Source organism: Homo sapiens, chromosome 9 (genome assembly GCF_000001405.40).
Source record: "Homo sapiens chromosome 9, GRCh38.p14 Primary Assembly".
In the NCBI taxonomy this organism is placed as follows: domain Eukaryota; kingdom Metazoa; phylum Chordata; class Mammalia; order Primates; family Hominidae; genus Homo; species Homo sapiens.
In genome coordinates this window covers 37,323,812-37,340,902 of record NC_000009.12, presented here as the reverse complement: position 1 = coordinate 37,340,902, position 17,091 = coordinate 37,323,812, and the positions used below count along the sequence as shown (strand labels likewise).

At 32.8% G+C, this 17,091-nt stretch overlaps 1 protein-coding gene and 1 pseudogene across 19 annotated transcripts in view; one reads left to right on the top strand and one right to left on the bottom strand.

The window, feature by feature from the left end:
- The window catches only part of ZCCHC7 (zinc finger CCHC-type containing 7), a 237,983-nt gene that overhangs the window by 17,247 nt on the left and 203,645 nt on the right, over window positions 1-17,091 (bottom strand). For all 19 annotated transcript variants that reach the window (NR_110317.1, XM_005251612.4, XM_024447691.2 and 16 more), the window contains one exon: window positions 13,069-13,104. Coding sequence is in view for 18 of the 19 variants with exons in the window: in XM_005251612.4 (XP_005251669.1) it covers window positions 13,069-13,104 (36 nt within the window). In the remaining variant the exon portion in view is untranslated. The remainder of the gene's footprint in view (window positions 1-13,068; window positions 13,105-17,091) is intronic.
- Window positions 6,946-7,046, top strand: RNU6-677P (RNA, U6 small nuclear 677, pseudogene; annotated as a pseudogene).

Here is a 17,091-nt window from a genome sequence, read left to right as displayed (position 1 = left end):
TTAATTAGTAAATGACATGACAAACGCTATCTACATACTCTCATTTTAATAAACTATCATGTACTAGGGCTTAATAGGAATGAAATCAGCCTAGATCTTACCTAATTAGAGAACATTTCTGTATTAGAATACACTACTGAAAACTCAATAGTGGTTTCCAGTGGACAAGTTTTCATACTATGATCTAACAAAAATCTCTAAGCTATTGTGTTAGAAATATAAATTTGTGACTCAATACTTATGCCTTGGAGCATGTCTTTATTTTTAATTAACAGTAAAGGTCCAATTTAAAGCAGAATGTGTCAACTGATTAGCTCTAAGTTCAGTGTTCTGTCATACGTGCCTGTACTGCTGACAAAAAGTTAAATGCAAGGCAATGAATGTAGTTTTTGTGAACTTTTTTAAGTCAAAATTTCATCTAAAGACTTTGACCCAACGGATACCAAATTAATTACTTATAAAAGCAGGCCTTTTGTATTTCTTTTTTTTTTTTTGGTTGCAGACATTTAAATAATCTATATTTGTAGGGTGATATCTTGGAGATTACTTTACTATCAATATATAGAAGTAATAACCTGGTAGATAGCATTACCTATGAAAGGTCCATCCCATCTGCTATTCTTGCTGAAAGCTTTTCATGCACCAGTAAACTCAGTAAATATCAGAAGATAAAGCATAAGCCTACCACGCCACGGATTTACTCCTAATGTCTCCTCAAAGTGCAGCCCGATGCAACGATTACAAATGATTTTCTTCTAATGTCATTTTACATAACCCTTTTTTCTGCATGAGTAGTTAGTGTGGAATGAATGAATGAATGCCATTAAAACAGTTAATCATTATCTGGGACACTGGCCTTACTCCCTTCACTACTAGGAATCTCCATGACAAAGGCCAAGAGATCAAAATGCTAGAGCTGCCTCAGTGTCCTATTTCTAACAGTAATTTTTTATGCAAATGAACCTGCTGGGCATCTCCCTCTGTGACCTTCAGCTGCCCTTATCTAAACTGACTTTGATCCAATGAGGGCTTGCATCTAGCTGAAGCTCATTACTATATACGATATGTAATCAATTTCACTAATTAAAGGGTATTTTCTATTCTGTGAATGCAAAATGGATTTATTTTTATAATCACACATATGCTTAAAGACTACACTATGTGTTTCTATTTATTAATCCAGTTTGCTATATGACATATATTAAAAAGCAAATATATTAAATACCTGAGGTAAATGCATTCATAACCAAATATAACACTGAGAAAAGTAGAGCTTGGCTCCAATCTTACTGACTAAATCACATGTGCCTAGGCACCTCTTCAATCAATATGATTTTCATGTTTGAGAACAACCTTATTCTTTCATATTTCCAAATCAATTTATGCCTAAAAGAATCAAATAAAGAAACCTAAAAGTTAGGCAAACTGTTTTATAGTGAACTGAACCAAAGCAGAGGCTGTGAGACAACAAAGATGATGCTGTGTTACAAAAAAGCCAAAAACTGTTCCCTTTCCTCCCTTTAAGGTGTTTTTCTGAGGTGGATCCTCACACCTGGGACCTGAACTCTAGGCCTACTTCAACTGAGGTTTTGGACAAAGTCTTCCATTTGTACACTGTTCTGGCAAATATTGACAGTATTACTTCCCTTTCAGGAATACTAGGAGGAATTTTCTCCAAGCTAATGGCTTTAGAATTATTTTAAAAGAGTGCTGTTTTTAAAGCTTTTATTTTTGCTTAGTGAAAAAACAGAATTCCCCTGTATTCTAGTGGACATTGCTACTAATTTTCCTCATATGTTAAAAATGGCATTAAAAGTACCATGTGTACCATATATACATAATACTTTTATGTGTTAAAAAACCATGTCATGTACCCAACAGACTCCCAATCCATTGGGTAATTCCTTAATTAGGCAGATTTTTGAAACATGTATTATGTACACAACAGACCGGAACGTCTCCTTTGGAGCATTTTCTAGTCTATCGGGTGATTACATCATTAAGCCACACATGCTACGTAGAAAAAATCCTTATGAAAATTCATGAAAAAATGTACAGCACATCATTAGCATGCAACAGACATGTATGCTTTTGATATTTTCTCTGTTTAAAAAGAAAACAAAAAACAACTACATGAAGTAATTAGTCGAGGTCGTGAAAACATGGGAAAGGTACCCAGATACTGGTAAAAATAGTGAAAATAAAAATAGTAAAAAAATGCATCTCTCATGGTTTACCTGAGAGTAATTTGCCATATTGGAAAAAAGATTCTTAAAGAGTGTTCATTTGAACTGCAGAATAACGTGTGTTGCTTTAGTTATTTGATATTTCCTGTATCTCTGTAACTTCCTCCCTACTTCTCTTTTGGATACACTGAAATTTTATAAACCAATGGGTTGAAAAGCTGCGAATGACCAATCACTCAAGGTCTTGCACTACTTTATGTTTGTATACTTATGTCTTCATTTTATGTAGTCAAGAGTATAAGGGATTACATCATTGTATCTTTTTCAGTAAATCGAAAACTACATTAAAGTAATGTAAATAGATATAAATTATTGGTATAACTTCCAATAGTGAAAGGGTTATATATTCACAACATTAACCACTATGCAAAATCTAAAATATATCTGAAAACTAAAAAGAAGCACGAGTTTTATAAAAATGAGCTATTAAGCTTATTAATTTATAACCTTTCTTTTTGTAAACAGGACACTCCCCCTATCAAAACAACTCCAACAACAGAAAGAAAACCTCAGTAAGCAGAGAACAATGAACACACGCAACACAGTAAGGATCAGAGTAATTCACTTCCTGAATGCTCCAAATCTTCATGGCTTAAAAAGCATCCCAATTTTCTCTAAAGGTAGTAGCATTTATTCATTGGGCCATAGCTAATTTTACATGGAATGCAAAAATGTTAGTTTAAGTTTAATATACCACCCTATTTAAATATTTCCAATGTAGCTCTCAAACTGCAGAGCTATCCCTCCGTCTATTTTAATTTTAAAGTAAGTTAGCAAAGGCTTCCTTCTTAATCCCCAGAGACTACCTACATAGTGACACAAACGCACAAATTTATGACAGCAACATAAATGCTCTTCTGAAGTAATGTGCAACATTAAGTGAAAATCGTTTCCTGGAAAGATATTATAGGTATCTATATTTTATTTGCCATCTTAAACATATCTGAGTCTTTATGGCCTTATTTTAAAAATGTATTTCCTTTTTATATTTCCTGGTGCAAATGGACTGCATAAATAAGCAATGTGCTATGAGGCTTCAGACCAGCCGATAAAACCTTTCAATTTTCATGCCAGCTTCTTCTTTTGTAATTCAAATCCGCCTGGAAACTGGCAGCTCTGAAAACTGAAACAAGCACTGCCACAAATACCTTGTAATGCTATCGACCTTGTCTGCCCATGCAGTGAGAAAGGGGGATGCGTATGTGTCTGCAGCCATCCAGATAACACAACTCATTTTTTTTGGGGGGGGGGGGGGTGGGTGGGTAGGGTGGGGTGGGATAACAGAAGCCAGCCCCAGACTGTGCACCAAAAGCAGTCATTACCAGGCGAGCTGGAGAATAAGTCTCTTCAAAATACACAGTGCATTTAAAAACCATATATGAGGCTGAGCCACTGCTGTCATTACCAATTTTAATTTAGCTCCTTCAGTTTGCCAGCCAGATAAACTCTTTAGTGCTGTTTTTTAATCTATTTGCCACATTTTATGTTTAAGATTATAGTAATATGGACAGAAGAAGGAATCACTTTTAGGGGAAATAAAGAAATAGATCCGCTTATCGGCACCCATCAGAAAGTTCATTAATCAGCCAGGCTTTGTGCCCTCTAAATTGAAAGGTTAAATAATCCTCTCAGGAATATTTCTCGGCCCCTCCGCCAATTGTCCGGAGAGGAGCTGCCATTCATAGCATGCGGGATCGGTGACAGGGTATCTTACCACTGTTTGGACCCCAAACAATGATGGACAAATGGCTTGGTTTACAAAGAAACCATTTAGTACATGGATGGAGAAGGACCACAAGCTTTGATGCAGGATAGAGGGATGAAGGCATGGAGACAGGATGTAGGGGGAAGGGACAGAAAAGAACACATAAATGTGTAAATCCATGGACATTTTATCTGAATGTTTATTGGGCTAGACTATAAAACACAGAAATCACACTAATATACATCTTCCAACCATACAAAATGCTTAACATATTCAAATCTGCTACTATATTTTGCATGTGATTGTACATGAACCCCAATAAAAAAATTATAAAAGAATAGAACCATAGCTCTATTACGTTTATTAGCTAATACATGGGGGATCCAAATAAACCCCAAGATTTTCATTTTTACCATAACTCCACATGACTTACAACACATGGCCCTCCCACCACCTGCCATCCCAACTCTGCTTATTCCACTGTAATACTCTTAACCATCGATCACAAAGGCAGGGAATTCCACAGCTGCAAGGACCTGTTAGAAGGGGGAAGTAATGTTCTTTTGCTTTTACAATATGTTCCATCTGAGCCTTTGCTTGTCTTAAAACAAGGAACAAACATGAAATAGGAATGCTCTTTGAAAGAATACAAACTGCATGTACTGATAAAGTGCTTAAGTTTGAGTTGCCTTTTTCGCTGGACGTATCTGAGAATACAGCTGGAAGTCTGCAGAACTGACCCAGCTCTTATACCACTACATTTTGCTATGAAATCAGGCTGGTTTTTGGTGTTAATCATGTGAAGGCATAAAGTAGTTTTACCTAAAGTGCAAAAAACTGCTATGCTATTTTGTTTCATTTCTTATCTGATTAACATAAGCCCTCTACCCCTAGCAGAAAGTATTCTAATTGGGGTATGTTTATGTTTGGGTGAATTTTTCAATTTCGTTTTATTCTCATCATTTGTATAGAGAGCAAATATTTATATAATTTATTTGCTTATGATAGAGAACTATATTCAGATGGTACTGAAGTTATCACTTAAGACTCACACATTTATTAATATGTATTTTCAAAGTGATATTGCATTTTTATGATACACATTTTATATAGTTATTTTCATTAGGAAAGGAAGTAGCCTAAATGGAAAAGAATAAGACAAGTATAAATAATTAGAAAATGAAAACTGAGGTAAATAATTTTGTCAACAAAAGATTCCCTTCAATAAATATAAGAAGGAAACATTGTTAGGAGACAGAGTAAAGAGGTCCTTAGGAATCTCCTAATGTTGGGCAGAAGACATTATAATAACCTGAGTTTGGGACGTCAGTCCAGAGGCCATCTCCACAGGTGTGAGATGCCTTTGGGTTTGCTGTAGTACAGCCTGCATAGTGTTTAACATGCTCTGTCTGTCAGGTATTGTATTTTATATTTATCATCTCATCGTATACTTAACAAAATCCTACAAGGCATTATCCCCATTTTTCAGATGAAGAAACTGAGGGCTTTAGAAGTTAAATATTTTAACTATGTTTGCACATTTAGTATATGACGAAAGACTCAGACTCTGAACCACAGTCCAATCCCAAAGCTGGCATTCTTTTCTCTATTATGATAAAAAAAAATGCCACCTAGTAATTTCCTCAGAAATTTGCTTGCCCTTCTGGCCCAACTGTATAGCACAGTTTTCTAAGGCCTGGTAAAAACAGGGAGGAAATGTACAACTGTAAACAAAGGAAATGTGAGAGATCCAAGAAAACAAAATTGATATTGTATAAACAAAGTTAAGACACAACCCAAAACTTAGTTTTCCTAACTGAACAAAAATGTGGGGTAATCCACAAATCAATGTAAAGAAACATATCTATGTAAAATGGATGTATTACAAAATTATAAAGATGATCTTATAATTTACCCAATGGATTCAGTTCTACATGATTATTGAAAAATGGAATGAAAATTATCTAGTAGCTTTATTACCAGTTGATACACACATGTGCATTCCTTTTACAAAGCTAATAAAAATTTCTAAACACTCACTTTAAATAATTCTTGTTTTGAAATGTGCGGTATCTATGTACTGGTGTACCAATTAAGGTGAAGTTCTAATTTAATCCCAAAGATATTAAACTTTTTTTTGTTAAATGCTTTCTAAAGAGGTAATATATTTCTTCACTTGTTTTCGGTATTTCTTAAACACCAGAGTTGTTGGTCTTGGAGGATCATTGCACCAACTCAAAATAGCTGGAAGAAAATACTTATAAATGTACCAAAAAACCCACACATAACACCCTTGAATTTCTGATATATAGGGATCAAATGACTGATAAATTTTAAGTCTAAAATCTGACTGATTTTAACAATAATTCATTAACTTTCAGTCACTGAAAAGACTGTGCTTTTGAAACCTAAAACTTAAGTTTATCACCACAGCTTGTAACAGAAAATATAACACTAGTTCAGAGAGACTGTTCATGTTAACAAGTCAAGGAGTCTTTTCCTGCAGATTATTCAAACGATCGATCCAAACCCTTAAAGGTTATGGTTGATCATGATTGTGAGTAATTAATTGATTCCTAAATACTTCAGACCTTTAGGAATTACTGTAATCTACCATGTCACTCACATGCATGACTACCAAAATGAATGTCTAATACAAATATCAATGCTCTAGTATATTTTATCTACATTTACTGTTGGACTGAAATGTCTAGAAAAGACTATGACAAGTTTGATCACTCGGAATATAATTAATAAATGGCATGAAATACCTGTTCAAAGCACATATGCGAAATAATCACTTGAATATGCTAAAGTTATCTACATAATACTTCTACACTCTTTATGTGTACGTAACACGACAAAGAATTGGCATCACTCAAGATTTTAAAACTGTTAATTTATTATATAGTTAGATACTGTACAATGGTAAACTGTATTAATTTTGGAAAATCTAAGACTATTTGTTTATATTTATACTCATTTTTATTGTAATAGGGTCACTCTTTAAAAGTGCAGAGTTGCAAGTAAAAAGAAACGTAGTTTTGTCCCTGAGCAAGAATGACACGCAAATTCATGAAGTGTTCCATATTTTAATTTTTTTAAAGAAAGAAATGTAGTTTTCTTTGAGATTATATGAATACTGTGGGTTTTAAAAAAGATTTTTAAAGTGTGTTATATATGTTAAAACAAGAAGCACTTAGAAATGAAATTTAATTACCACAGTATTTAATAATCAAGAATAAATTGTCCCTATAATGACTAACTATAATTCCTTTCTAAGTAATGCTGAACACACATGGGGAAGAGAGGAAAGGGTAATAAAAAAAAGTGCAAACGTGATGCTCCATTTGTCATCCTCAGGATAAACATTTGTTAACAGATAAGAAAACAGATGACCACAACAAGTACTTCTTTCCATTTTTAAAACAGAAGTACAACTTTAAGGCCATGTGAGACATATTTAAGTCCTAAATATACTGGTCTTTGCCCCTAGCCACTAGGGGCAGGAATAAAAAGCACAGGGACTTTTTCCGTCAAATAAAGAAAGGAAGTCACTATTTATAGTAGAACTTCAGATTCAATTATTTGATTATTGAACATCTAATATCTAAAAATATGAGCCAAATTCATGATGACTAGTGAGTAGGTCATTAAAGATATTTAGAAGATGGCAAAAGCACAGCTGCTTCTATGCCAAAACATTTATGATAAATCTTTCCTAAATTGAGTGAAGGCTGCATACTTCTCATTGCTTCATTATCTGAAACACTTAAATCTACATTAGGATTACCATCATAAAGTACTTGATATTATCTAAATATATTAATGCAAGGAAAAAACTATGCAAAATATGCCATATTGATTTCCCATTTAAACCAAATTAGTATTTGCATTAAAATACTGAGAATCAAGTAACTTCAGAATTGAAGGAGTGAACACTTCAGTATTTCTTTGTAAAGAAGAAAATACTAAGGTTCTCACAAGTGCTCCAATAAATAAAAATTACACCCAAATCTAAATGATCTTATTCTAACTCCATTCACAAATAAATATGCATACATACAATTTCTAAATATCTGAGGAAATGTTATGTGAGGAAAAATAACATGCATTTATAATTCACAACATTCATTTTTCCCCCTTTCCTTTACAGTAGCTTTAGAAAATTGCTTTTTGATGATTTAGCAAATTTTATTTATTTTTAAAAGAATCTCATTTATTGAGATTGATAATTCCAGGTTTCATTTGCTTTGAAATTGCATTTTCCAATGATAAGTTCTGGCAAAATGTGGTTCCACATGCCAGTGAAATAAAGATTAAAAAAAAAAATCAGTTGACTTACTCTGTAAATGTAGTAATTATCATTCCTACTAAACTCAAAATATGAGAAGACTGAAGTAAAAATTATGATGATAATTTTAACAGCAAATTCTTTAAGAACAAGATAAGTATTTAAATAACATAAAACTATTCATATAAATTTTGCATTTGAAAAATCTTTAAAAATTTTAGTCATTCTCCAAATGTATTTTCCATCTCTGTTATCAGAGATGGACTATTACAAGTCATCAATGCTTATTCAAAAAAAAAATCTTGTTATTCAAACACCAAGTAACTCAAAAGATAAACCAGTCTGATTTATTTTATAGTACTATAATGGAAAGATGGCTCTGAAGCACTACAAAAGAGTCATGTGCCTTCTGAATGATCAGAGCACAATCACGTTCACCTCAGTAGTATTTTAGTACTAAGGGCATTTTAAATGAAAACTAAACCTCTGACAATTTGGCAGAGATGTAATGTCTCAATAGCAACACCTGATCAATCAAAACATTAAAACAGCAATACCAGATACAGAGGAAAAAAACTATAATTTATACAAGAGTATTTCTGGTTCTTGAGGAAGTAGGCAAAGTAAGTTGAACTACCAAAACAAAAGCTTCCAAAATGAACTTATAATGTATTAGCTTATGAAAACCTATGTGCTAGGCCTCAAAAATGGTACCAATAAAAATGGTGTTTAGATAGCATTTTACAAGACAGTATGTAACCAGTTCTATTTTCTTAAACACACCAAAGCGCACACAGAGAAAAACAGACCTATCACTTGATATCTACTGTGTGGATGGGGTTATTATGGTTTTTACAGATCTGCTTATGTAGCCAAGGACCTCTCAGAAAGATATTTAGGAATCCCAACATATATCCAATTAACCAGGAAAAGAAAAGATTCTGGCTGACTTTTTGAATCTCTTCATTTCACATTTTAAGTTATTTTAAAGGAAAAACATTCCATATTAGCATTAGGCAATTAGAAAATTATCTATCCTATCTTACATCACAATCTCAGGATAAAGGCTTTTGCATAGCTATAGTCTCAGAACCAAAACCACCTTCTTATTCCTTCCTTCTGGAGTGTAAAACATAGTTCTAGAGTTAAATCCAAATCTGTTGACATTTAGGGGTACCCACTCTGTAGTATGGCATAGAATGCTTTAGAGAATAACATTCTCACTCAGTATAAAACTCCAAACTGTGAAAACACAAAAAATACATTTCTAAATGGGTATTTCCAGGTAAGGACAGAAAACTAAGTGGCAAAATGAAATGTAATATTGTTACTTATGGTTTATAAGATATACCCTGACAAACTGTGGCCATAAGCCTTTCTTAGGCCAGAAAGGAAGTCAAGCACACTCATTTCTCTACTCTTCCCCATTTCCCGGATAACAAATAGTCTATTTTTTGAAGTGTGAATTCTAGGCATTCAAAACATTATATATAAAAAAACAATTAAGGCTTAATTCTTCTAAAACAGTTACATTTGCTTCCTGCTTAAACCTTCAGTTAAAATAAAAGGCAGTAGGGTTGAAATACATTTTAACAATGCACACAAAGAAATCAAATGCAAAATTAAACATAAAAGATGCATTGTCCTTTTCGATTCTTAACACATACAGCCCTCAAATAGCAAACTCCTGGTTACTTTTTAAAGTAAGTAGATTAAAAACAAGATTAACCAAATGTCCAACTCATGTCAAATCATAGCCTCTACTAGTTAAAAATTCTGTTGGTTGTAAAACTCTGTTGGTGGCCATATTGGCCTAGGATTTTTAATATAAATGAGAGTAGAAATGACAGGGGGTGGGGGAAGGGACATTCTTTCTCGAATAAAGGGGGAAATTTTTATCTAGAATGAGTTATTTGAAAGATGAAAAAGAACATTAAAAGTCAGGCTCTACAAAAATCTGAAAATGTAGCAGAAATGAAAATACAAGAAGTTATATTTTAGCTATATTATTAAACATTTAAAAGCATTCTAAACATTTTTGAAGGAGGTAAAAATATTAACTATTTGAGGAAATTATGTACTTGTTAAGTAAAAACAATATTTTTTTCTTTTTTTCATGGTCTCCAAATTGATAAAGACATTAAATTATATAATTATAGAATCATTAAAACATAGAAAGATGGTGTCACCAGATGGTTGTTATAATATGGATGTTTGTGTATATGTAGTCTTTTTAGTTTTATTAGCATGAACCCTTTAGAATGATGGTCTTTAGCTTTTATTAATGTAGTCGAGTCTAGCTGATTAAAAAGCTATTATATTCATATACAGGTTGTTGAAGATATTTCATTTTATTTTTCTTGAAATTGTTGAAAATAGTGAACACTTCTATAACTTTCTTCTTAGTTCTGAAAGTGTTTTAAGGAATTTTTTATTTGGAATATTTCAAAAGTCCACTTGTAACAATCAACTACACCACCTTTCTTATGTGTTTGAGAAACAATATTCTGTTTAACCTATAGACTTTTTTGGTTTTTAAAGAAAACGACTCCTGGATAAACATTAATTTACTGTTAAAATTTAAGTCGTTCTGTAAATGACCCTCTAGTTGGGAGGCAGATAAAAGCAACTGTAAAGCTCCCAAATATAAACATCTCCAAACTGGATACTAATCATCTTTGCCATCATTTGGGGTAAGAAATATGACAATTTTGGTTAGAAAAAGTAATTAATCAATGCTTAAGTGTAGAAAGCTCCAGAGTTTTAAGCAGACTGGTTTAAATGAATAAGTAGTAACAATTCTAACTGAGGCTTCATTACTTGGTCACTGCGCTGATTGACTCAACATTCATGTGTGAGGGCTACTAGGAGTCAATAGATGGCAGTCCATCGCCTAGTAAAAGAGCTGAAGATGACTAAAATCATCATGCATCTTGTTTTTATTCAAGACTGAATATTGCTTCATTGCATACATTTGGATATTGTCCATATACTGATAATTTAAATAATTACTTAACTATTTTATTTTAGAGACACTGATATATGCACAAGTTCATAAACATGCTAGTTTTATATTTATACTTGCATAGTAAACTCATTATTAATTTCAACTTGATAATTTATAAACTGTGATGGCAACTTCAATATTATTTTAAAAAATTAACCAGGATTCCAGATTGGAACAAACAAAGTTTTCAAATTGAATTTGTTATACCTATAAATAGAATATATTGTAATTCCTTAAAAAGTAAATTTATTTTGTATTATTTTTTCCTAATGATTCTTTTTAAAATTTATGTTTCTGAACAGCTAAAATATTAAGCAAACCTTCAAATATTTCTGTTACATTGAAACAAATTTTTACCCTTTAACTATAGGTATATAAACGAACACAGGTGTAAATAATCAAAAGAGCAGCTTTAAAATCATACTTCCTACACTTCAAGATTGGAATTGTTTAAATTAGGGGAAAAGCTAAAATAAATGCAATGTCAAATCTATAAGGATATTACTTTATACAGTTACAAAGAGTAGCTCTGTCATCTTGAAAAGTATAACATATAATTAGATTCTAATTAAGTTTAGGCTGTAATGATTTCACTATATTATGATAGGATAAAAAAACTGCTACATAAGCACAAACAATGTATTCAGATGAATTACATTTGTAATATATATGTGTAACATACATGGGTATGTATATATTTTTGGGTATAACACTTAAGTTTTTAACAAATCCTAATTTGAGATTTGAGGAATAGTTGAGGAGTTACAGCTTTCTACTGAAAATCTTTAAAAAAATTAAATGGTAATCACAAAATGTGAAAACAAACCACCTTATATAATTTATGGCCTCTTGGGCCTGTGACAGACAGACAGGTAGTTTGAGTCTACTTGTTGGTTTACTTTTTATTTCTCTAAGGAGAATGATAAGAAGTCATGTTTTGAAAGAACTTTGCCCTTTGTATTTTTACAACCTGTCTTTGTGTAAACAAAACTTTTAACTATGCTAAACCTTAAGAAACAATGTTTAACAACTTTTAATTAATATATATTATGTTATATAACTGTAATAATTAAAAGAATAATGGTCTGTTGCTTAGCACAACATATTTAATACAGTAAAAGAAGTGAGTAGTAGGGCTATGGTGAATTACTGAAATGATTTAAGCTGAACATTAAAAGTAAACTAACTTCATAATATTGAGCACCAGTCAATTAGATTCTCTAGCAAACTGTATTTTCTGCTTCTACTTAGCCTAAAATCACAATAAAAGGAAACTAGGAATTGAATAACTTGAATGGTATTAAGCAGATATTTATACATTTTGAATAAGTCAAGAAGGGCTTAAGGATATGACAGTTGAATTATTCTATATGAAATATACACTAAGCTTTTTCTAGGTTCATTGAAAAATATCAGTAACTGTTTTAGTAAAAGCAACTGAAGATACTGTGGACTGAATGCTTGTGGACTGTGGATAATACAACATTTTAAAGACACTGGATTATTACTCTTTAAGGCTCCCAGTATACTTTTTCCCTTTAATTTAATGAATATAGTCTGGAAGACTAAGAGATACCATGATGTAATCATTAAATGATGTGAGTAATAAAAAAATCAAATTCTTTTAAGAACAGGAAGATAGGGTAGGGGGCAGTGGAAAAGAGAAAAAGTGTATTATTGCTTTCTCCGTACAAAAACTCTTCAGATGTTTATTATCTTCCAGCAGAAGATGCTTGTCTATATTTTATGGTCAGCAGTTCAGAGAAGGGTAAATAGGCTAGGTCTTGGGGAAAATAAAAAAGGTGTTTCTACTCACCGTTAGGTGATACTGCCTCCAGATTTCTGTGCAAGCCTGGAAAATAAAAATATTGATCAGCTGGGAGCATGAAACAAGGTACTTTACAGCCTGTTGGTTTTGGCATAACCCAGCATCCACCGGTGTCGGTCACAGGAAAATAAGAAGCTTAACAGAAAGGGTCTGCATTTCAGCTTCAAAAACCTGGCTAGACAGTTTAATTGAATTTTACACTGGTTTAACACACTCCCCGCCATTGTCAGAAAGCCAGTAACAAAGTTTTCTCTCTTTTTCTTTTCAGGTTACAAGTTTTGGGCACTAAGATGTGATAAAGAGCCATAACTCAGTTAAACTGATAAATGAACAGCAGTGGTCAAAATCAATAAAACTCACCAAGTACACCTTTTAAAACAGCATTTTGAACTTTGGTAGTAAGATGGAAAACAATTTAATAGTAACTGCTTTAAGAAGACTTCACTGTTATTACATATTTGTGATAGCTGTTGGCATCTTTTACGGAATCACTTGGTGCTAACTTTTAATACTCTATAAGAAAGAGAATTAAAAACAACAAGAACAAAAACGACTGCAAGAAACTAAAGTCCAAACTGTCTAATCTTTCCATATCCACATCTGTAGCAAAAACAACTTTAAAAATCCCCAAAACGTCGATAATCTTGTAAAAGATATACTAATTGAAACTAGAATAGGTAACAACAAAAGAACCAACCAAACAAGCAAATATAAACAATAGCAGGAACAACAAAAACAGTGATTAGAATATATTTTCTTACGAACACATATATAAATCTTCTTATGCCTAAATTATGACCTTGTTAAGGACACTTTTTCTAACCAAGCTGCTTATGTATAGTTGATCAGTTTACCATCTTCTCAGGAGCAAAAAGTGTGTTGTTTGTAACTATATAAATGGTTGGAATAAATTAAAACACCAAGCAAAGGAAATGGTGATTCTTAAAAGCGAATGGAAATTTATAGCTTTTGTTTATAGATGCATGCCTAAAATTAGAGTAAGACTTTCTGAAATCTTTGTAATTTTTGATACCTAGTTTGAAACAACTCTTTACTTGATTTGTCATTCCTCTTTCATTTATTTTTCAAAGTATTGATAAGACTAACAAAGGTAATTCATACAATCTGAAAATATCATGGCTATGATAATAATTTAAGAAACATTTGAATGCCAATACCTCTACTGATTATACCACCATAAGTGATTAGACAAAAAAGTAGATATGTTTCAACTATGCTGAAACATATCTATGCTGAAAAATTTTATCCTTTACGCATTTTAACTTTCCTGTGTAATTTCCTATAGAAAGCTGTGTAGACTGCTCCTATAGAAAGCAGTCTACACAGCTTTCTATAGGAAAGACTGTTTAGTGGTCAGCTTTCCAGTTTTAATATCAAATTCCTGGAAACTAAAGTGTCTTACTAAAAAAACCCACTTATTATATCCAGTCATTTCTGGATGAACAACACTGATGAAAAGACAACTATTTTTAAAAAGTAAAAGGTTGATTCATAAGGCAAAGATCATGTTAGTTACCAAATGTAGCCACAAACTTTGTTACAAAAGTTCTTAAGAATATATACAAGAAATATCTATTTTTATAAACATGTATACACACAAATATCTAATGTACAATATATCCTTAAATATTCATTTCCTACCTTCTATCATAAGCTTTTTGCTGTGTATATATAATTTGAGTTGGATTATTGTAGAAATAAGCAAGCAGTTATTTATACATTAGTTATGGATAGTTCTTGATTACCACAGTGTCCTCAGAATAATACGGTTGAAAAATCGCAATCACTGAGTTGTCATACACTGGCAGAATGCCACTCTACCATGTGACCTTTTCTTGTGTTGCAGCAATTTAGTAATAAAAGAAAGAATTACTTGGTTTTTGAACAATCATCTGATTGCTCTGTACATGAAGATGATGCCCAATATAGAAAATTAGTAGTGAGAGACATGAAACTTCTTTTCATTTATTAGACAATAGTATTGTAATTTTTAAAAACTCCTACTTGACTGTCTCATAAGTATTTTTACTCAACATTCTCATGCATAGTTTCATTTTGCTATTTTTTGTAATACTTATTTATATTTGAGGTTAAAAAGTAAACAAATATTTTTCATTTCAAACTAGGTGTCAATATAAGGCACACATCTTTATTTATATCTATGTATCATCAATGAATTTTTAAAACCCTAATTTTTCTTTTTGCTTATTATGGCTTCAACTTCTTTTTACCATTCCCTAGTCGTTGCACGTATTTTTCTTCTTATCAAATAGAATGCCATGGCACCCAAATGTATGTATCTATTGCATGGAAAATTATATACCTATTGCATAAAATAAAGTAATTTCTAAAGCAAGAAGCCTACTATTACAACTAACTTTGGTCTAATTAAAAAAATACTTAAAATGAATTACTAGTCAGCTGTGGAACTCATCTAAGATGCAAATTCAACAAACTATGAAAATACAATTGCATTTATTGGTTACCCTGGTGATCTCACCTTACTGGTACTTAGATGGATGGCAACCCAAAGGGCCTCCTCAAATCACACAACTGAAAACATACAAAGTGTACTTGTACATCTGTTTTAGCAATGTGCTACATTGTTTGCCAACTTCTGCCCAACTAGTTTTCCCGTCTATTGTATTTTGTATAATAAACCATACATAAATCAGTGTTATTATTCATAAAATTCAAAGATGAATCAACACAGTTTGCCACACCAGATGAATTGAGAGTTTATATTGTGCATTTTGACCCATATTGAATTTTATCAGGTGCTAATTATTGTTTTACGAGAACAACGGCTTAGTGCATCTGTTGTTTAATTCCCACTTCCCTATTCTCAAATGTGAACATCAAAGAAAATAAAACACTCAATCTTAAACAGCCCCTGACAGCAGACCAAGACTCAAGTGCTCAATAGACAAGGCCCTTGCCACCAGTTCTCATATTTCCACAACAATGAACAAACACAAAAACAGCACTAAGCGGCCTTTCCTCCTCCTCAGCTCCCCTTGGCCAGTTGTCTGCCTTGTACTAGAGAGAGCCCTTGAACGCAGCCCTGCTGGGAACACAGCACAGGAGAAAGGATTAGCCTTACTAACATGCTAGCATTTGCAAAAGGGAAGAAAAAAACCCCCAATACTGTATTTGGTATATGAATAACCAAAATGTATGAGCTGACAAGAGACCAGGACAGGCCTGTGGCTCCCCGGGAGAAAATGTAGCTGTGATGAGTGACAGGGCTTTCAGGAAATATGTTCACAATCACAGACAGTGAAGGCCATGACCTAGATCGTTTAAGAGCTTGTCTTGTCAAATTATCAAAAGCTTCTTCCTCTCTGAATAAAGAGTGACATAAGTGAGTGTCAGAAAGCTGCAGGCTGACAAGCCAAGCATACAATAACAGAATGCACGTCACATACATGCTGAACACCGCCACTGCTAGCGGCAAATCTTAATGAGAGCGCGGCCAGCCCAGGAGACTTGGGTCCCTGCTGGCACAGCTACTCATCTCACAAAAATCCTTCAGCTCCAAGTCAGTTAGGCTCTGACACGACAACTACAATTACGAAACACAACTTTTTAACAGAATCCTCTGGTGCTTTGTCAAAGCCTCTGTTGTTAGGAGATGGCCCCCTCAAGTCACTACAGCAAAACAAAAGATTTAATAAAACAAACAATATTCATTGATAGTGAATAACATAAATAAAGAATAAAGAGAATAATTCAGTTTAAAAATTGTTGAATGAAAACACATGGCAAGAAAACCATTCTAGTCTCTGGACTCAACCACCATCTTAACTGTTCCATATGCACACAAATATAAGTTTAGGTGCCTTTATTAAAAAGAACGCCCCTACTCTGAAGCCTCAAGACCAGGCTCTTCATAGACTTATAGCTACCAAGTCATCTGATTGTCCCGATACTTTGGTAATCACTGGCATATACACTATTCCTCAGCTACACAAAATATTTTTGTATCCT